We start from the raw sequence: 21,481 nt of genomic DNA, 5'->3' as shown, positions 1-21,481 counted from the left end.
TTGAGCCCAGGATTTCCAGGCTGCAGCAAGCTGTTGACCATGCCACCGCACTTCAGCCTGGGTGAGAGAGTAAGAACCCGTTCTCAAGGAAACAAAACAAAACAGCAAATGTGTTGAGAAATTATGCACTATTAAAATATAATCAAAATAATACATAACGAGTTATGGTGGCTATTTGTGCTTTCTGAATAACCAAAATGCATTCAACTACAGGAATTTTAACTTTAAATTTGAAAGTGGCTGTCTTGGTTAAAAAAAAAAAAAATTAGTAATTCACTGATTAAAAACAAAACCCTCTCCCCAAAAACTTTCCTACTTTCCAGAAACACGGCAGTCAGCTCTACTCAAAACAGTATTTCTTGGCCAGGTGTAGTGGCTCACACCTGTAATCCTAGCACTTTGGGAGGCCGAGGCGGGTGGATCATTTGATGTCAGGAGTTTGAGGCCAGGCATGGTGAAACACGATCTCTACTAAAAATGCAAAAATTAGCCAATTAGCAGGGTGTGGCGGCGCTCGCCTGTAGTCCCAGCTATTTGGGAGGCTGAGGCAGGAGAATCACTTGAACCCAGGAGACTGAGGTTGCAGTGAGCTGAGATTGTGCCACTGCACTCCAGCCTCGGTGACAGAGCAAGACTGTCTCCAAAAAAAAAAAAAAAAAAAAAAAACAAATCCCAAAACACAGTATTTATCCTATTTACTAATAAAATGGATCAGAAGAGAACACCCTGCCAACCTGTACTAATCTCAGTCCATCTATAAGGGCTATTGGAAGAGTATCTCTCACTGTGTCAGGTGTGGGTTACAGTTTAAGAGCATACTTACTCCAAAGCCATTGATTTCATACTTCTGTAAACATGACACAAACAAATCGTTTTCTTAAGTTCTCATTAATACTGATGTAAAAGTAAAACTTCAGGCACCAGAATCAAATATTGTATTGTTGATATAGTTTGGCTGTGTCCCCACCCAAATCTCATCTTGAATTCCCACGTGTTGTGGCAGGGACCTGGTGGGAGGCAACTGAATCATGGGGGCAGGTCCTTCCTGTGCTGTTCTCATGACAGTAAGTCTCACGAGATCTGATGGTTCTATAAGGGGGAGTTTCCCTGTACAAGCTTTCTCTTTGCCTGCCACCATTCATGTAAGATGTGACTTGCTCCTCCTTGTCTTCCGCCATGATTGTGAGGCCTCCCCAGCCATATGGAACTGTAAGTCCATTAAACCTCTTTCTTTTGTAAACTGCCCAGTCTCGGGTATGTCTTTATCAGCAGCATGAAAACGGACCAATACAATTGTGTTACTGGATTTAAAGCTACACATATTAATAGTATCTGCCTGATGGGTCAACTTCTTCATGAAACCTCTTTTATAACAACATTTCCTATATGGAACAACCACATTCATAAGCTCAATCAATGAAGTAACTTCAGCATGGACTCTACAATTACTTACCAATAGAACAGATGAAAAAGTAGCAGATGACATTCCCCACATGCCCAGGAAATAAGCCCTGATGAGGCTCTCCTCTGGTAGCTAGTTCAGTTTCTTCACTCCCATTTGGAACTTACCTTTGATTGCTTTTTGCTGGACACCGACTACCTATTTAGAATACTATTGCTATTCATTCTGCCATCCTTTCCTTCCTTTGTTCTTGGTGAAGGTGGGGAGTGGGGGAGAGGACTTTCTTGTCTTCCACATCTCTGGATTTTGCCCAGCCCTAGCATATCAAACCTAATCTTCAGCTTCGTTTGGCTATGTGTGTTTGTGCCTGCATGCTCCTAGTTGCTTATCTGCTAGCAACACTGTTTTTTTCTTAAGTCAAAGGGTTTGAAGAGGTTGGCTTCAGAATAAAGCTGCTACTTTACTCTGATTTAATCTTTCCATTCACCTGTGCAGTCCTATGTCTACATTTCCTAAAATCTACCCTCTGTGGATGCTTTCCACAAAAAGGCACCCCTATATAGCTCACATTTATGTAACAAATACATTTATGCAGTTAAGTTACAGTGAATCATGTACATAACCCTGCCGGAGAGTGACAGACTCTGGTGAAGTAGAATAATAGATGGGGAAGGGTAAAAAGAGACTCTGAATACGTGAACAGGTTTAAAAATCTACAACAAATACAGCAAGGGTTAACATTTGTTAAAGAGGGGTAGCGGACACATGGATGTTATGTTACTCTTCATATTCTTGTATATGTTTAAAATGACGTAATAAAAATACTAGTAAAAAGACAAGTGAAATAAATGATAAAACTCTAACTTAATTTTTTTTTGGTAACTCATTTCAGTTTTCTTCCCTAACTTTTGGGGTGTAACCAAGGAATCATAAACTGCAATATTTAAAGGAGACAACTTGATGAATTCTGACAAATATACACACCTGTAAAGCTATTACCATCAAGATAATAAACATATCTATCACCTTCAAAAGCTCTGAAATTATATAGTGTATGCTCTCTTTTGGTCTGGTTTCTTCCACTCAGCTTCACTGAGATTCATTTATGTGTGCATCAGTAATTCATTTCTTATTGTGGCAGAGTAATATTCCACATACCATAATTTGTTTAATCATTCAGGTGTTGCTGGGCATTAACCTCCATTTTTGTTGTTGCTGGTTTTTTTTTAAGACAGGGTCTTGCTCTACTGCCTAGGCTATAGCGCAGTGACATGATCACTGTTCACTGAAGCCTCAACCTCCCAGGTTCAAGTGATTCTCCAACCTCAGCCTCTCAAGTAGCTGGGACTACAGGCATTCACCATCATGCCTGGCAAATTTTTAACTTTTTGTAGAAACAGGGTCTTGCTATGTTGCCCAGGCTGGTCTCAAACTCCTGGGCATGATTCTCCTGCCTTGGCCTCCTAAAGTGCTGGGATTATAGGCATGAGCCACTGCCCTCAGCCTTGTTTCCAGTTTTTAGCTATTACAAAGACAGCTGTTACACATTTGTGTACCAGTCTTTCATAGACATATTCTTTCATTTCATATGTCAGGTATATGTTTAGCCCTTAAACTCCCAAATGATTTTCCACAGTGATTATATACATTTTAAATTCCCACCAGTGGCGTATGACAGTTCCAGTTGCTCCAAATTCTCAGCAATTTAGTATGATCAGTCTTTTAAAATTTTAGCAATTCTAGTGAGTCTATGGTTTAACTCATGCCTTTAATATAAACTTCCCTACTGACTAATAAGGTTGGACATCTTTCTTTTTCATATATATACTTTTTCTTTGCTACCCAAGACCAGTAAAGTCAGGTTGGGCATCTTTTCACGTGCTTATTTACTATTCATATACTTCCTTTAGTACGGTGAAGTTCTTTGCCCATTTTTTCACTGGGTTGTTGGTTTTCTTTGTATTGATAGTTGAAATTATTTTTATAGCATCCATCAGGGGTCAGCAAACTTTAAAGGCCAATAAGGAAATTAAGCTTTGAGGGCCATATAAAGTCTCTGTCACATTATACACACACACACATACACACACTCTCTCTCTCTCTTTAAAAAGTATGAAAACTATTCTTAGCTCACAGGGACTTTACAAAAACAAGACCTTGGGCTAGATTTGGCCCACAGGCATAGTCCTCTTGGTCTAGATACAAGTCCTCTCTGAGGTGTACTGCAAATATATTCTCCCAGTTTGTAGCCTGCCTTTTTGTAATGGCATCTACCGAAAACAAAAGTTGTTCATTTTGATGAATGCAATGATTCTTTTTCTCTTATAATTTGTGTTTTTTCTATTTTATCTAAGAAATCCTTGCCAAAACCAAGGTAACTAAGATTTTCTCTTACATTTTCTTCAAGAAGTTTTATAATTTTAGCTCTTACATTTAAGTCTGTGACTCATTTGTATATGATACGAGGTAAGGGTATAGTTCATTTTTTACATATGACTATGCAATTGTTCCAGCACTGTTTGTTACAAAGATTACTCTTTCCCCATTGAAATCCCTGGGCATCTTTGTCAAAAAAAAAAAAAAAACAACAACAACTGACCATAAATATGTGGATGTCTTGAGTCTCTATTCTGTTCCATTGATCCATATATATCTACTTTTATACAGATACAATGTCTTGATTGTTGTAATGTCATAATAAATTTTAAAATTAGTGGGAGTCCTGCAACTTATTTTTCAAAGTTGTTTTTGCTCTTCTAAGTCCATTGCATTTTAGAATAAGTCAATTTCTATAATCTGGCTGGGAATTTTATTGAATTTAAGATTTGGAAGAGAAATGACATTTTAAGAAATCCTGAATTTTTGATCCATGAACACCATGTATTTAATTTCTCTCAGCAAAGTTTTCTCTCATCAAATTTTCGTAGTTTTCAGGATACAAGTCTTTTAAATATATCCCTAGTATTTTTTTCCTTTCTTTTTTTGGGACAGAGTCTTACTCTGTCACCCAGGCTGGAGTGCAGTGACATGATCTCGGCTCACTGCAACCTCTGCCTTCTGGGTTCAAGTGATCCTCCTGTCTCAGCCTCCCGAGTAGCTGGGATTACAGGCATGTGCCACCATGCCCAGCTAATTTTTGTATTTTTAGTAGAGACAGGGTTTTGCCATGTTGGCCAGGCTGATCTCAAACTCCTGACCTCTGATTATCTGGCCACCTCGGCCTCCCAAAGCCTTTCTTTTTAATGACAGGGTTTTATCCCCTCGTCCAGGAGGCTGAAGCGCAGTGGTGAAATCACAGCTCGTGGCAGCCTTGACCTTGCGAGCTCAAGCCATCCTCCAGCCTCGGCCTCCCAAAGTGCTAGGATTATAGGTATGAGCCACCATGCCCAGCCAGGTATTTCATTTTTGATGCTATTGTAAATAGTACTGTTTTAAAATTGCAATTGCCAATTGTTCATTGTTTGTAGGTGGGGCCGCAATGAATTTCTATATATTGAACTTATCTCCTACAATCTTGCTAAATTTTCACTGATGGTTCTATTAGCATTTTGGTAGATTCCTTAAGATTTTCCATAAAGATGATTGTGTTTGGAGGTTTTTTTTTACATTTAATACATTTAATTTTTCTAGCCTTACTGCACTGACTAGAACTTCCAGTACAATGTGGACTAGAAGTGGTAAGGGTAGGCATTTTCCTCGTCCCCAGTTGTAAGGGGACAGTTTACAGTTTTCCACCAAGATTGATATGAGCTGTTGGTTTTCAGATATCCTTTATCAGAATGATGAAGTCTCCTTCGATTCCCAGTTGCAAGAAGTTTTTATAATGAAGGGATGCTGAATTTTGACATTTTTTCTGTATATATTGAAATGATCATCTAGTTTTTCAGTTTCGGTCTGTTAATATGCTGAATTATATTGATGAATATCCAAATATTAAACCAACCTTATACATCTGAGATAAAACCTAATTGGTTACAATGTATTACTTTTTATATATTGTTGGATTTGACCTGCTAACATTATATGAAGAATTTTTGGGTCTATGTTCATGATAGGTATTAGTCTGTAGTTCTTTTTAGTATCAGGTAATGCTGGCCTCATATAATGCTTCAAGAAGTATTCCCTCCTCTTCACCTTCTGGAAAATCTTAAGTAGAACTGGTATTAATTCTTTTTTTTTTTTTTTTTTTTTGAGACAGGGTCTCACTCTGTCACCCAGGCTGAAGTACAGTAGTCCAATCACACCTTAGTGTGGCCTTGACCTCCCAGGCTCAAGTGAGCCTTCCACCTCAGCCTCCTGAGTAGCTAGCTGAGATTACAGGTGCATTCCATCATGCCTGGATAATTTTTGTATTTTTTGTAGAGACAGGGTTTTGCCACGTTGCCCAGACTGGTCTTGAACTCCTGACTCAAGGGCTCCACCTGCCTCGGCCTCCCAAAGTGCCGGGATTACAGTGTGAGGCACTACACTCAGCTGGGATTATTTTATAAATGCTTGGTAGAATTAACCAGTGAAGATTTTGGGACTGAAGTTCTCTTAGTGGTAAAGTTTTTAATGAGAAATTAAATTTTTTAAATAAATATAAGGTTAGTCTAGTCACCTATTATCTTCTCGAGTGACCTTTGGTAGTTTAGTGTTAAGAAATGTGTCCATTTCATCAAAGTTGTCAAATTTATTGGCATGAGGTTTTTAATCATATTCTCTTAATATCCTTTAATGTCTATAGGATCTGTAGTGTTATTCTGTCATGCTACGTGCATTGTGGTGTGGAAACTCTTTCCAAGCAGTAAGATGAGGCAATCATAGGGCTCACTTTGTTTTCTACCCCTTCTCTCAAGGATCACTGTCCTGTGCTGCCTGTTGTCCAATGTCTGAAAACCTCTATTTGACATACTCACATCTTTTAGTGGTTTCCAGTGAGACAGTAAATATGGTTCCTGTTACTTCATCATCGCGAAGAATGGAAGCTTTACTTTTTATAATGAAAAATTTCAAACATATACAAAAGTAGAGAGAATGGTATAAACTTTCACATACCTATTATCCAGCTTCAACAATTATCAACTCATAACCAACATTGTTTCATGTATACTCCCTTCCTAAATGGCCCTCTCTCTGGAATATTTTGAAGCAATCCCAGACAGCCTATCATTTCCTTCATAAATATTGTGGCAATGTATCTTTAAAAGATAAAGGCTTAAAAAAAAAACCCATAACCATAATACCACTATCAAACCTAAAAACATTATCAATAATTTCTATTATCAAGTACTGAGTCAGCATTCAAATCTCCCTGTTTTTTTCTACCTTTTAAAAGTAGTTGATTTGTTTAAATCAGAATCAAAATAAGGTATACACATTATATTTGGTTAATACATTTCTTAAGTCCTTTTAAACTTTTAGGTTTCCCCTTCCACTTTTCCTTGAAAGTATTTTAGAAACTGTACTGTCTAATAAAGTAGAAACCAGTCACATGTGGCTATAAAGCACTAAAATGTGGCTAAAGCAACTAAGAAACTGAATTTTAAATTTGAATTTAAATTTAAAATTAAAAACTGATACTTGTTCCTAGCTACTGGAAAATGGAACAGCTTGGGTATGTGAACCTAACTTTTTCAACTATCAGTTTCAGAAAGTCAGAATACAGATCAAGTATTTCTGATGAAAATTTACTATCTGACTTGAGATGTGTTTTAAGTATAAAGTATTTTGAAGACTATGAGATACAAAATAGCTTATTAGTAAATTTTCAATATTGCTTATAAGTTGAAACGACAATATTTTGGATATACTGGGTAAAATATATTATTGTAATTCATTTAACCCATTACTTTTTGCTTTTTAAAATCTGGCTACTACAAAGTTACATGTAGGCTGGGTGTGGTGGCTCACACCTATAAACCTAGCCTTTGGGAGGCTGAGGTGGGTGGATAACCTGAGGTCAGGAGTTTGAGACCAGCCTGGCCAACAAAATGAAACCCCATCTCTACCAAAAATACAAAAAAATTAGCAGGGCATGGTGGTATGCCTGCTAGTCCCAGCTACTTGGGAGGCTGAGGCAGGAAAATCGCTTGAACCCAGAAGGCGGAGGTTGCAGTGAGCTGAGACTGCACTCCAGCCTGGGTGACAGAGTGAAGACTCTGTCTTGAAAAAAAAAAAAAAAAAAGAAAGTTACATGTAGAGCTTACACTGTATTTCTACTGGACAGTGCTGAAGTAAATTATTTATCCTACAGAGTTCCTTATATTCTAGGTTTTGCTGACTGTATTCCTCAGTGTTATTTAACATATTTCTTCCTGTCCTGAATTTATTGTAACCTGGTAGTTTTAGACCAGTGGTTCTCAACTGGGGGTACTTTTGCTCCCCAGGGGGCAAATGTCTGGAGACATTTTTGATTGTAACAACTGGGGTGAAGTATGTGTGTGTGTACTACTGACATCTAACAGGCAGAGGCTAGGAATACTGCTAAACATTCTAAAAAGCACAAAAAAATTTATCCACTCTAAAATGTCAATAATGCTGAGGTGAGAAACCCTGTTTTAGCGACTTAGACTGCAATTTGATTTTTTTAATAAGACTATTTGATATGGTTTGGCTCTGTGTCCCAACCCAAATTTCATGTTGAACCGTAATCCCCAATGTTGGGGGAGGAATCTAGTGGGAGGTGATTGGCTCATGAGGGTGGATTTCCTCCTTGCTGATCTCATGATACTGAGTTCTCACAAGATCTGATCGTTTAAAAGTGTGCAGCACTTCCCCCTTCTCTCTCACCGCCATGGTAAGACGTGCCTGATTCCTCTTCACCTTCCCTATGATTTTAAGTTTCCTGAGGCCTCCCAGCCATGCACCTTGTACAGCCTGAAGAACTGTGATTCAATTAAACCCTTTCTTTATAAATTACCCAGTCTCAGGTAGTTCTTTATAGAAGTGTGAGAATGTACTAATACAGAAAATTGATACAAGAGAAGTGGGGGCATTGCTATAAAGATAACTGAAAATGTGGAAACAACTTTGGAACTGGGTAATAAGCAGAGGTTGGAACAGTTTGGAGGGCTCAGAAGAAGACAGGAAGATGAGGGAAAGTTTGGAACTTCGAGACTTGTTGAGCAGTTGTGACCAAAATGCTGACAAGGATATGGACAGTGAAGTCCAGATTAAGGTGGTCTCAGATGGAGATGAGGAACTTATTGGAAACTCGAGTAAACGTCACTCTTGCTATGTTTTAGCAGAGACTGGCAGCACTGTGCCTCTGCTCAAGAGATCTCTGGAATTCTGAACTTGAGAGAGACGATTTAGGGCATCCGGTGGAAGAAATTTCTAAGCAGCAAAGCATTCAAGATGGGGCCTGGCTGCTTCTAACAGCCTATGCTCATTTGCATAAACAAAAGTGACCTGAAACTAGAACTTTAAAAGGAAAGCAGAGCATGAAAGTTTGGAAAACTTGCAGCCCAACCATGCAGTAGAAAAGAAAAACCCATTTCCCGGAGAAGGAATTCAAGGCTGCAGAAACTTGCAGAAGTAAAGAAGAGCCAAATGTTAACAGCCAAGACAATGGGGAAAATGCCTCCAGGGCATGTCAGAAGCAGCCCCTCCCATCACAGGCCTGGCGATCTAGGAGGGAAAACTTGTTTCTTGGGCCAGGTCCAGGGCCCTGCCGCTCTGTGCAGCCTTAGGGCATGGTGCCCTACATCCTAGCCACTCCGGGTGTGGCTAAACGGGGCCAAGATATAGCTCAGGCCATTACTTCAGGGGGTGCAAGTCCCAAGCCTTGGCAGTTTCCACAAGGTGCTGGTCCTGTGGGTGTGCAGAAGGCAAGAGTTGAGGTTTGGGGGAGACTCTGCTTAGGTTTCAAAGGATGTATGGAAATGCCTGGATGTCCAGGCAGAAGTCTGCTGCAGGGGCTAAGCCCTCATGGAGAACCTCTACTAGGGCAGTATGGAAGGGAAATGTGGGGTTGCAGGCCCTACACAGAGTCCCCACTGGGGCACTGCCTAGTGGAGCTGTGAGAAGAGGGCCACCGTCCTCCAGACCCCAGAATGGTAGATCCACTGACAGCTTGCACCGTGTGCCAAGAAAAGCTGCAGGCATTCAATGTCAGCCCATGAAAGCAGCTGTGGGGGCTGAACCCTGCCGAGCCACAGGGGTGGAGCTGCCCAAAGCCTTGGGAGCCCACTCCTTGCATCAGTGTGGCCTTGATGTGAGACATGCAGTCAAAGACTTTTTGGGAGCATTAAGACTTAAATGTTTGCCCTGCAGGGTTGCAGACATGTGTGGGGCCTGTAGTTCCTTCGTTTTGGCTGATTTCTCCCTTTTTGAAAGGGGGTATTTACCCAATGCCTGCGCCCCCACTATATCTTGGAAGTAACTAGCTTGTTTTTGATTTTACAGGTTCATAGGTGGAAAGGGCTTGCCTTGTCTCAGATTCAACTTGTACTTGGACTTTTGAGTTAATGCTAGAATGAGTTAAGACTTTGGGGGACTGCTGGGAGGGCATGATTGTGTTCTGAAATATGAAAAGGACACAAGATTTCGGAAGGGCCAGGGGCAGAATGATATGGTTAGTTCTGTGTCCCCGGCCAAATCAAATGTTGAATTGTAATTCCCAATGTTGAGGGAGGATCTTGGTGGGAGGTGATTGGATAATGGGGGCGGATTCCCCTTGTAGTTCTTGTGATAGTGAGTTCTCACAAGATCCGGTTGTTTAAAAGCGTGTAGCATTTCCCCCTCATCCTCTCTCCTACTCTGCCATGGTAAGACATGCTTGCTTCCCCTTCACCTTACACCATAATTGTTAAGTTTCCTGAGGTCTCCCAGCCACGCTTCCTATACAGCCTGTGGAATGGAGTCAATTAAACCTCTTCATAAACTACCCAGTCTCAGGTAGTTCTTTTTAGCAGTGTGAGAAGAGATACCCTATTCCACAGTGGTGGTGTGTCCTTTCATTAGGGTACATGTAAATATCTGGCTATCTTTTTGTGATGCTGGAAACTAATGTAATCCGATTCATTAGCAGCTGCAAAGTAGTAACAGCCTAATTCCTTTATTGTTTATAAATTACTTCTTTAAAGATAAACTTCTCTTCATCATGTATTTGTTATTTTCAGGATAAATGCAAAATTCTCTATTTAACCATTTTTCAAAGTCACAAGCCAGTTCCCCAGTATCCTCCAAAGCGACCAATATTATTTTATTTCAGCATCATTATAAACTTGTGCATTTAGACATATTTTCAGGATAAATGCAAAATTCTCTAACCATTTTTCAAAGTCAAGAGCCAGTTCCCCAGTATCCTCCAAAGTGACCAATATTATTTTATTTTAGCATCATTATAAACTTGTGCATTTAGACATTTTTGATAAGTTTCTATCTATTATCTCTTCATGTATGGCGGGTATACGATTCTTCATGTAGGCTCCTGGGTCCTGTTGATAACCAAGTCATCTCTGATAATTTCTTTGACTTTTGTTATGAAAAGATGATCATGGCTAATCTTATATAAACATTTCTTCTCCTGGACCTGAAATCAGCCATTTCTCCAGTGGGCCACTTTAGTGGAAAATAGTATTTAGAAGTCATAATCTAGGTCTTTTTAGTAGACAAAGCTAGGAAATGTTTGTTTTTTTGAGAAAATACATTGTGAGTTCATTCCGATATTTACATTCAAATTAAAAGCTTTAAGGTTTTATTATGTATCTTCTTTTATATCTGAATCCCTTTTCTCTTATGCTGAAAAACTGTAATTACATTAACGTAACTACTTGTTTGCTTTACTCTATAATATTTTCAGAATAACATTACAAATATTAACATTATGATTACTGAAAACAGTACATGATTTTTTTTGCAATTTTTTTTTGCCCTTAGAATCATTACAGTGTTTTATAGTCATTTGGAATAATTTTTCTCTGTTAGGCTATGTTGCTAACTCAAAACAAAGTTAGATGCATTTGTTTCACTGTGCTTTTACTAAGCTTGTCTTTTTGGAAAATTTCATTTAGTTTTGCTGGCAGATGGTTCCAAAGTGGAAAAAATATAAGATCTATTTAGATGAGTGTAGCTTTTAACCTTGTCTTTTCCTACCCCCAGCTAAAAAAAAAAAATTAAAAAAAAAAAAAAAAGATTCTGGTTTATCATTGTAATTTTTAAATAAGCCAACATAAAGTCAAAGTAATCACTTTCCCTGATCCTTTCTTTGATAGTAACATACTATAAAGTTTTCTCTCCTTTCTTTTTTGACCTAAGAATATATATATCACTGCATAGCAGCATATTGAGATATTTAAACTTTTTAAAATTTGTATTTCCATTTGCCTGGTACACCTTTGCTCATCCATTTACGTAAGTTTTCATGAGGTATAATTTACATACCATAAAATTCGCTCACTTGAAGTGTACAATTCAATGACTGTTAGCAAATTTACAGAGCTATGTAAACATCACCACAGTCCAATTTTACATTTCCATCACCAAAAAGATCCCTTGCACCCATCCATCCTTTTATTTTAAAGCTTTCTCAATCTCTTTCTTTTAGATGTACCTCTCACATTCTGCACAGTGTTGGAATTTACTTCCAAAAAATATTTTCATAGGTGAATTATATCCATTTGCATTTAATAATATGACTGATGTTTGACCTTAGCTCTGCCACTGTTTTATGTCATATTTGTTTTTATGTCTCTTATATCTGTAAATAAAATATCTAGTCTTTAGTTATGTGATTTTCTTGCCCTGCCAGTCTCTTGTCTTTGTGTATCTTTTTGGTATTTAGGAAGACTTTTATTTTTATTCTGAAGTTTATTATTATGCAAATATCTTATATAATATCCTTATGTCCTTAATAGTTTTGGGGGATACTATCTATTGGCTCCCTACTATAAATAATTTTGAATATCTCTCTTATTTTCCTCTCCCAAAACATCTAATATGAAGTAATAACTTTTTATTTCCTGAAAATACCTATAGGACAATCAGTAAATATATTCTATTTTACTTGCATTATCTCCCTTCTTGCATTTTCAGAGAAATGTGCTTTAGTTACATTGTCAGACTTATAACTATAGAATATATATTTTATGATCTCCTTTATCATGTAGCTCTAGTTCTCTTCAGTAAGAAGTTTTGTTCTGCAAAGGAGTATCAGTTAGTTTGAGAGTTCACAGGGCTAGATCACCCCAGCACTATCCAACCTTTCTGAAGTCTATAAAGTTGCCTCTCAGTTTTAGCTGCTCTCAAATTGATCTCTAAGTGTTCTACAACTAATGAGACCTTTAGAGATGATCAGGATGCTGGCAGTCTGATATCTGGATTCTCTGAGCCCTCCCTTGCTGATACCATGCTAGTCTTGATGCTGCTGCTGATTTATTTTACGCACTTGTATTCTGGAGTTCACAGGTGTTGTATAATAAAGAATTTGACTGGGCTTTGTTGCTGGTTCCTCTAAAGTTCTTGGAATTGAGCAATAGGAAAGTCTGTATTACTCGTGAGCCCCTTAGATCACTCCTGAGTTAATGCTAAGAATATGACTCAGGATGGGGATAGAAAATGCCACAAAGATCAACTGTATGATTTGAGCAATACACATGTCTTTGAGCCACATGATTTCAGCCCAACTTCCCAAACTCCAGGGAAGAGGGCTGATGATCAAGCTCAACCACATAGCCAATGATTCAATCAACAACCATGTCTATATAATGAAACCCCAATAAGAAACCCGAGTACTGAAGCCTGGTAGGGCCCACTGGTTGGTGAACCAGGAGATGTGTGAGGAGGGTGATGTACCCTAACTGCACAAGAAAAGAGTAAAGAAACTTTTGAGTTTAGGAACCTCCAAAATGTTGGTTGCCCTGTGTCTCTTAATTTTGCTAGTCCTGATTGTATCTTTTATAATAAAATCATAATCGTTAAGAATAGTGCTTTCTCGAATTCTGAGTTGTTTTATCAAATTATTGAACCTGAGTGGGGGTCATAGGAACTCTTGAATTTGCAGCTAGTTGGTCAGAAATACAAGTGACCTGGAGACCCCTAAACTTGAAGACGGTGTCTGAAGTAAGGGTGGTCTTTTTGGGAACCGAGCCCCTATGGTATACAGTTTGATAGTGACCAGGATGGTTAGCGTCAGAATAGTACTGCAGTATGCCCACATGGATACCCTGAAACTTAGTTTTGTTATACGTGTTGTCCACAGGTTTGTTGTTATATTATTCTAGCTTCTCTTCTGTTTTTGGGAAAAGATTTTGGAGATTCAAAAACTATGCCACTGCCACTACCATCTTATTGCCAGCTCTCCTTCCGGTTTTAAGTTAATATGGTATATCACATGCTCTCCCCTCCACCCAGTATTTCTGTGTTTATCATTTCACAGTCAGATATTAACAAAAGATTAAACTGCTGAAGTTACTCAACCAGTCTTAAGTATTTTAAGTATTACTTCCTCATCAACATGATGCATTAAATTTGTAAGTTAAATAGCATAAAACAACAAACTATATATTGCTAGTGATGACACGATATATATTTTCAAACCAGTCTGAGGTTAGAACCTCAAAATAAAAAGTAAAGGCAAAAATTTTACCTCTGTAAGACGGAGTTGTGAAGATGCGGCCATATAATCTGATTCTAATTTGTTCTTCTCAGAGATCACTGTAGTATTTTGGAGAATTAAATCTACTTTTTGTATATGCAAAGAAGTACAAATCTAGGAACAAAAACCCCTAAGAGTTAATTTTTATGTTACCTATGTTTTAGAACTAAAAAATGTATAGTTTTTTAAAACAAAATTATAAACCATGAAAAAATAATTTTCCTATTGTGCCTGACATCTCTCTCAAACAGTTCTTGTAACAATTTTTTAGAAAGTGTTTTCCTTTGTTTTTAAGAGAGTCATCTGGAATAAACACATTTAGCTTAATGAGTGCTTTTATCCTATTTATTACCTCTAAAGAAAATGTCAAGCAACTAAGCAAGCTGAAACTGATGATAAAGATCTCTTGCTTATATAACTAAAATGTCAAAAACCTTAATCAAAACCTTCCCTCCCTCTAAAGATTTTACTATCTTATCTGCCCGCTATTTCCTTTAAAAAATGACTAAAATTAAAACAATACCTTACCTTTATTAGGTTTGTTAATTCGGTAACAAGTTTCGCTTTTTGAACATTTATTTCTTTGATTTTGGTACTTGCTTTTCGCTCTTCCTCTTCAAGATTGCAAGTATCCTGTTCCATCAGCTTTAAACTGTATGACACATATAATAATGAAGAAATCAGTGTTAAACATAAGAATTGATCCCAAATTCTTAGGTCCCCCCCAGTTTTCTGGGATATATTTAGCAATACTTTTCAGATATATAGTGCCTGGCCCATAACCGATCAATCAATATAAGTTGTTTCTGTTGCTATTAATATTGTTTATAAAACAGTCACTTCCCTTAAGGAGCTAAAGTGGGGAGAGTTAATAGCTAAAAACCAGAAACGAACAAACAAAAAACACAACACAATAATCCTAAAAGTTAATAGTATGTTCTCAATTTTAAAGATGAAGAAACTAAGGCTCAGGTAAGTGAAGTAAATTGCCTAAAATCACAGATATTAAGTGTTAAGATGTGTTTGGTACCAAAGTCCATGTTCTTTCCACTACACCATGTTGCCTCGAAGAGAAAAGAACAAAGGATGGAAGCAACAACAAACAAATTCAGCGGGTGCTGTAGAGAGTGGCCAGAATGGTACAAGGACGAGTATGTTGGGGAGGGGAGGGAGATAAGTTGGAATGGGTAAAGCGAAATAACATTTTGAAGAATCATAAAAGCTTGCCTAAAGGAGAGTAGTGTTTAATTAAATTTCATGTAGCAACTGTAGAAAGCCATAATTTTTTTTTGTTTGTTTGAGATAGGAGTCTTATTCTTTTGCCTAGGCTGGAGTGCAGCAGCACAATCTCAGCTCACTGCAACTTCCACTTCCCAGCTCAAGCAATTCTCCTGCCTCAGCCTCCCGAGAAGCTGGGATTACAGGCGCCCACCGCCATGCCCGGATAATTTTTGTATTTTTAGTAGAGACAGGGTTTCATCATGTTGGCCAGGCTGGTCTCAAACTCCTGACCTCAAGTGATCCACGCACCTCGGCCTCCCAAAGTGCTGGGATTACAGGCGTGAGCCACCGCACCTGGCCTCATAATGAATATTCTTGAATGGGGTAGGAACATGCAAAGAAAATAAATTTTGCAACAGTCTTTTGGATGAATTAAATACAGAAGTGACTAGTCAGGCAGAGACCACTAACTAGGTCACCACTGCAGTAGTCCAAAGTGAACAGAAGTAGGAGATAGTAGGCTAGTAACACGTATGAAAAGTCATCTCACTGTGAAAAATCAACATTACTTTACGAGGAGAAAGTTTAGTTTTAGACAATGGGTTCAATACAGCAATTGCGCAATAAAGGTTGAGCGTTTTGCAGAAGATTGAATAGGAATGAAGGAAAGGGTTAAAAGTTTAAAGAAAGGTTTAAAGTTGAAACAAATTCTAGGAAGCTAGACTAAATAGATATATCTTGCTTTAAACAACCAAGGCACATTACCAATTTTAAAAATAGAAGTTAATGGGCAATTGTTTGCTTTAAAAAAACATAAACAACAAAGAACAAATCTTCCTAATACATTTCAAATATGATTCAATTTATAAATGTGTTTAGAAATACAAACGATATTAAGTCAAGGTAAACATACCTTATTCAAGACAATGAGCTGTTACTTATTATTAAAGATTATGTCACTAATATCTATCTTTAGTCTATAGACGAGAAGTCAGAACAACAACAACAACAAAAAGCTGTGGGCTGTGTTATGGTAGGATATGGAAAAAACCTTGAAACTGGAAACCGTGTGCCTTTTCCCCAGACTTGAAACCCTAATAGCTTTTATCCCACCTTATATATTCTGGTTTCTACAAAAGATCTAAATTCAAAATAAAAGTTACAATCGTTCTGAGAATGGGTGACTGGGTTTTCACAATAAATCAGCAGTTTTCTGTTTAGAAAAGACTTTTGGCTGGGTGTGGTGGCTCATGCCTGTAATCCTAGCACTTTGGGAGGCTGAGGCGGGAGGACTGATTGAGGTCTGGTGTTCGAGACCAGCCCCAGCAACATAGCAAGACCCCATCTCTACAAAAAAGCTGGGCATAGTGGTGCACACCTGTGGTCCCAGCCACTCAGGAGGCTGAGGCGTGAGGATTGCTTGAGCCCAAGAGTTCAAAGCTGTAGTGAGCTGTGAGCATGCCACTGCACTCCAGCCTGGGTAACAGAGCAAGACCCCGTCTCAAAAAAAAAAAAAAAAGACATTTGACAATATTATATTTACATTTTGTACAGAATTCTGTGGAATATATGACCCATTAAGGCCAAGCAGACATAATTCTAATTGTCACAAGGAAGACTGCAACTAAATGAGTGAGATAAACCCTCAGGTGCCCAATCTATTCTGTGAAACTCAATATAACCTCCTCCTTCCCTATTACTCTCTTTCAGAACTAGAGAAAAAACAGCCTAGTTTGACAATTTTTCTGCCTTCCCCTCTCCTCTCCTACCATTCAGAACTCAAGGGACATATTGTTTTGGATAATCATGTAGGGCAGTGGTTCTCAAAGTCCGGTCTACAGACTCCTGGGGATACCTGAAACTATTTCAGGAGTCTGTGAGTTAAAAACTATTTTCATGGTGGTAACAGGACATCATTTGCCTTTCTCACCATGCTGTCATTTGCACTGACGGTGTAAAAGCAATGGAAAGTAAAAATGCTAGTGCTTTAGAATAAATCAAGGTAGTGTACCAAAACTAGTGCACCAAAGTATACTAGTTCTTAGATTCTTCACTGCCATGCAATTGAAATTTTTAAAAATGCCAAATTCCCTTAAGAATATCCTTGATGAAGCAGTAAAATTCATAAATTTTATTAAACCTCAAAATCTTAAGTATATATATTTTTAATATTCAATGTCATGACATAGGAAGTACATAATATAGTTGTCCCCCAGTATCCATCAGACATTGGTTGCAGGACTCCCTAAGGATTCCAAAATCCACAGATGCTTAAGTCCCTTATATAAAATGATGTAGTATTTGCATATGGCCTATGAACATCCTCCCATATATTTTATATTATCTCTAGATTAGTTATAATACCTAATACAACATAAATGCTATGTAAATAGTTGTTATATTGTATTGCTTAAGGAATAATGACAAGAAAAAAGTCTGTATGTGTTCCATACAGACATAACCATCCATTTTTGTCCCCCTGAATATTTTTCTTTCTTCCCTCCTCCCTGCCCTGCCTAAAGAGATGAGGTCTTGCCATGTTGCCCAGGCTGGTCTCAAACTCCTGGACTCAAGTGATCCTTCCGCCTTGGCCTCACAAAGTGTTGGGGTTACAAGTATGAGACACTGCACCTGGCCTCTTGAATATTTTTGATCTGTGGTTGGTTGAATCCATGGATGTGCAACCCACGAATATGGAGGGCAGGCTGTGCTTATTAAATATTTGTAGTATATTCAAAAGTATAAATGTTGTTTCAAGGAAAAGCACTTGTGTGACTAAGTTTGGAGTTATACTAGACATTTTTTTCATGGAATACCATTTTTATTTAAAAAAATGACAAACTATAATTATCTGGACTTGGCTATTTGGTCATTTTTCTTTTTCCAAACAGGAATAAAGTGAGCTTGTCATTTCAAGGAAAATAACTGACAATATTTGTTGCCAATGATAAAGTTCAAACTTTCAAATGAAAATTTGAATTTTAGAAAATCTGTATCCACTGGCAAGCTTGACAGCTTCCCAATTCTTAACAGCTTTTCTGATGGAATCAGTGATCAATGTGATCTTTTAAAAATATTACATAATAAAATATGTCAACGTTTGAAATATCTATGTGACTTGATGAACCAGTATTCTCCCAATGACCAATGCATGCTATAACTAAATCATTTACAAGTAAAAGCGCCATCTAAAGTGCAATGGATTTTAATGTAACAGAGTACACAAGTTCACTGATATGGTTTCAGATTCCACACTGCAATTAAACTTTAATAAACTACACTTTGGCAAATTTTGATGTAGTATTAAAGAATAATATCCACAATTACCTGAAAAGTCTAAAATACTCCTCCTTTTCCAACTGCATATTTATGGGAAGCCAGATTTCCTTCATATACTTCAACTCAAACATCTCACTACAAACTCAATATACAGAATTAAGTAGGGAAAAACCTACTGACTTCAACTAAAGAAATCTGCAAAAATGTAAAACGCCACTCTTCTCACTAAATGTATTTTGTCTGGAAAACAGCTATTTTTAATACATTTTTATGTTAACACATAATGGGTTTATTTTTAAAATGAATTACTGCCCCATCTCCACCTAAAAAAAAATAAATTAATGAATATTTTAAACATTCTCAGTTTTAATTTCTAATATGGTAAATATCAATAAATACAATCCATGTAAACAAAACCTCTTCAAGGTCCTCATTAATTTTTAAGCATATAAAGGAGTCCAGAGACTGGAAGAACAGAAGAACTTGCAACACTCAAGATTCATCTCCTTTTGCCCTATGGAATAAAATTGTGTTTTATGCAGTAAGATTAAAGATTAAAGAGAAATTACTACAAAGCGTGCTTGTGGAAATGCTGTTGTTATTACAGTGTATAATTAATATTCTCCCATACAGTAATTTGTGCTCTCCCCCCTGAATAGGCTAAAAGATACCTTCCTAGTTTGGAACTGATTTTTTGTTCCAGTTGTCTTTTCTTGGTTTTTCTCTCAAGAAGCTCCTTCTTCTTTTGTCTAAGTTCATTGTCTTTGTGCTCCAGATGTTTGCTTGTTTCACGTAAGGCAATCAACCCTGAATCCACTGCTTGCAATTTTCTATGAATTTCCTATAAAATATTTAAAAATTGTTAACATATTTAAAAAACTGTTCCAGTGAAACTATTAGAAATCCAGTTAATATTCTTTTCTAACATTCAGATCAAATTAACCAACCTTTAGCTGTTCTTCTAAGTGTCTTCTCTGCTCTAGGTCCACAGTGACAGTGAGAAACTGCGCTACTTTTAGAGATGTGTTACTAGAAATAACTTTGTTTGAATAAAAAGAAGTTTTCACCACATACTTTTCTTCTGCTGTATAAATCTGTTTTAATCGGGTTTCTTGTATTACCTATAACGTAAAACAACTATTAGTGCACATCTAATATAAATTATATGTTTTAAAGTACTAAATTAGAAATACAGACCAAGTGAATTTTGGAAGATCAAAATATACGAGATATACATTTTTTTTTTTTAGACAGGGTCTCACTCTGTCACCCAGGCTGGAATGCAGTGGCACGAACTCAGCTTACTCCAGCCTCAACCCCCCAGGCTCAAGTGATCCTTCCACTTCAGCCTCCTGAGTAGATGGGACTACAGGCATGTGCCACCACGCCTGGTTAATTAAAAAAAATTTTTGTAGAGATGGAGTTTTTCCATGCTTCCTATGGGGGCGCTGGTCTTGAATTCCTGCCTCTGAGATTCTCCCGCCTGGGTCTTCCAAAGTGCTGGGATTACAGATGTGAGCCACTGCATCTAGCAATTTTTTTTTTAACCTATCCAACAAAATTTCAAAAAAGGCGGCCCATACAACTAGCAAAGTCAGCTATACTTCTACGCTACTATACAACTCTCCCAAGTAGTTTTGGAGCTTTGTTACATCTAAAGAAGAGATAGCAGGAGAGAAGAGTGCTCAGCACATTGAACTGTTATCTTGGGTAAGTCATTTACTCTCCCCTCCTCTCAGTTATACTGTTCAAAGATACATAATCTTATATTTAGTTCCTGTATATTTGGGAAGAATAATCAAATGAAACATTTTTCATAGATTTCAAAGCCTTTTCTTATTTTTAAAGTTTTTTAGAACTTTTCTCTGAAGAATTTATACATGGATTTCATAAACTAAAATATATTATAAATACCACAACCATACCACTATTTGATCTATTTCTGTATATTTATAGAGTAGGCTGCTGCAATGCAGAGCATTTTTAGAGGTTGTTTCCAATCTCTAAAAACCTTCAGATACTATTGTAATACTACTGTAGCTTGTTTCCTTCCAGAAGTTTATAGTCTAAGTGAAGAAGTAAGACATATTTAAGCACACTAGGTCAACAGGGCATAAATCCTACAATCCGACTAATCTGAAAAAAAGGGATAGACTGGATGACTTTAGCCTACCCAAGTTTCCTAAAAATGAGTTTTAAACTGGATTTGAACTGACAGAGTGAAGGAAGAGCACTTCCCATAAAAGTGACATCTCAAGCTAAAGAAGTCAGCAGACAATTTAACCAAAGGGAGAATCTTAGAAATTAATGAGAGAACAATTCCATAAATAGGATATACTGTTAGATAACCTAAAATGTTAAGAGTTAATAATAAAAGAAAACATAAAGAGTATACTTTTATTCTGAGGAAGAGATACAGCCATTATTGCCATTATCTAGCCATTATTGTCTCAAACAGAAGGATTGAGGATATAAAGGTAGTAAATTTCCTCAATAAAGGTTTATATCTTCTGAAAGATAGCTAAGATAATCTTTACTAGGTACTTGAAATACTTTCTAACTTGGGTTTTCTTGTACATACAGATGTCTGAAAAGTATATCATCATAAATTATTTATATACAACATAGAACTGAGTTAGGCATTGGGACAGTAAGGTATTTGATATGTTTGAGAATTTAAAAAATATAGTATATAAAACCAAAGAGATTAAGATTAATGAAAACACCTGAAAAAGAAATGGGAAGAAAAGAATTTCACTTTTAATATAAATTATATGAATTCCAAAGCTATTTCTCTAGTACAAACAGCAGTGTCAAAGCTCCCTAGGTGACTTAAACAAAATGTTAAAAGTAAAAGTACATGACCATGTTCAAAAAAGAAATTTCCAAATGAAGTAATTGCTCCTTTCTGCCCCAAAGTGAAGTTTAAAAAGTCCTTATCAACCTTTCTATTGTCTTTCTGAATTAGTAAAGAAGTCCCACTAATCTTACTTTCAGAG

The 21,481-nt window shown here is 37.2% G+C and overlaps 1 protein-coding gene across 12 annotated transcripts in view; it reads right to left on the bottom strand.

Annotated features, from left to right (window-relative positions):
- The window catches only part of SMC5 (structural maintenance of chromosomes 5), a 95,896-nt gene that overhangs the window by 16,757 nt on the left and 57,658 nt on the right, over positions 1-21,481 (bottom strand). For all 12 annotated transcript variants that reach the window (NM_015110.4, XM_005251837.3, XM_005251839.3 and 9 more), the window contains 4 exons: positions 19,430-19,603; positions 19,154-19,323; positions 14,511-14,634; positions 13,974-14,096 (listed from right to left, as the gene is read on the bottom strand). In NM_015110.4, the coding sequence (NP_055925.2) occupies positions 13,974-14,096; positions 14,511-14,634; positions 19,154-19,323; positions 19,430-19,603 (591 nt within the window). The remainder of the gene's footprint in view (positions 1-13,973; positions 14,097-14,510; positions 14,635-19,153; positions 19,324-19,429; positions 19,604-21,481) is intronic.

The sequence above is a fragment of the Homo sapiens genome, chromosome 9, assembly GCF_000001405.40.
Source record: "Homo sapiens chromosome 9, GRCh38.p14 Primary Assembly".
Taxonomy (NCBI): domain Eukaryota; kingdom Metazoa; phylum Chordata; class Mammalia; order Primates; family Hominidae; genus Homo; species Homo sapiens.
The sequence above is the reverse complement of the archived record's forward strand: the minus strand, read 5'-3'. Positions and strand labels throughout refer to the sequence as shown.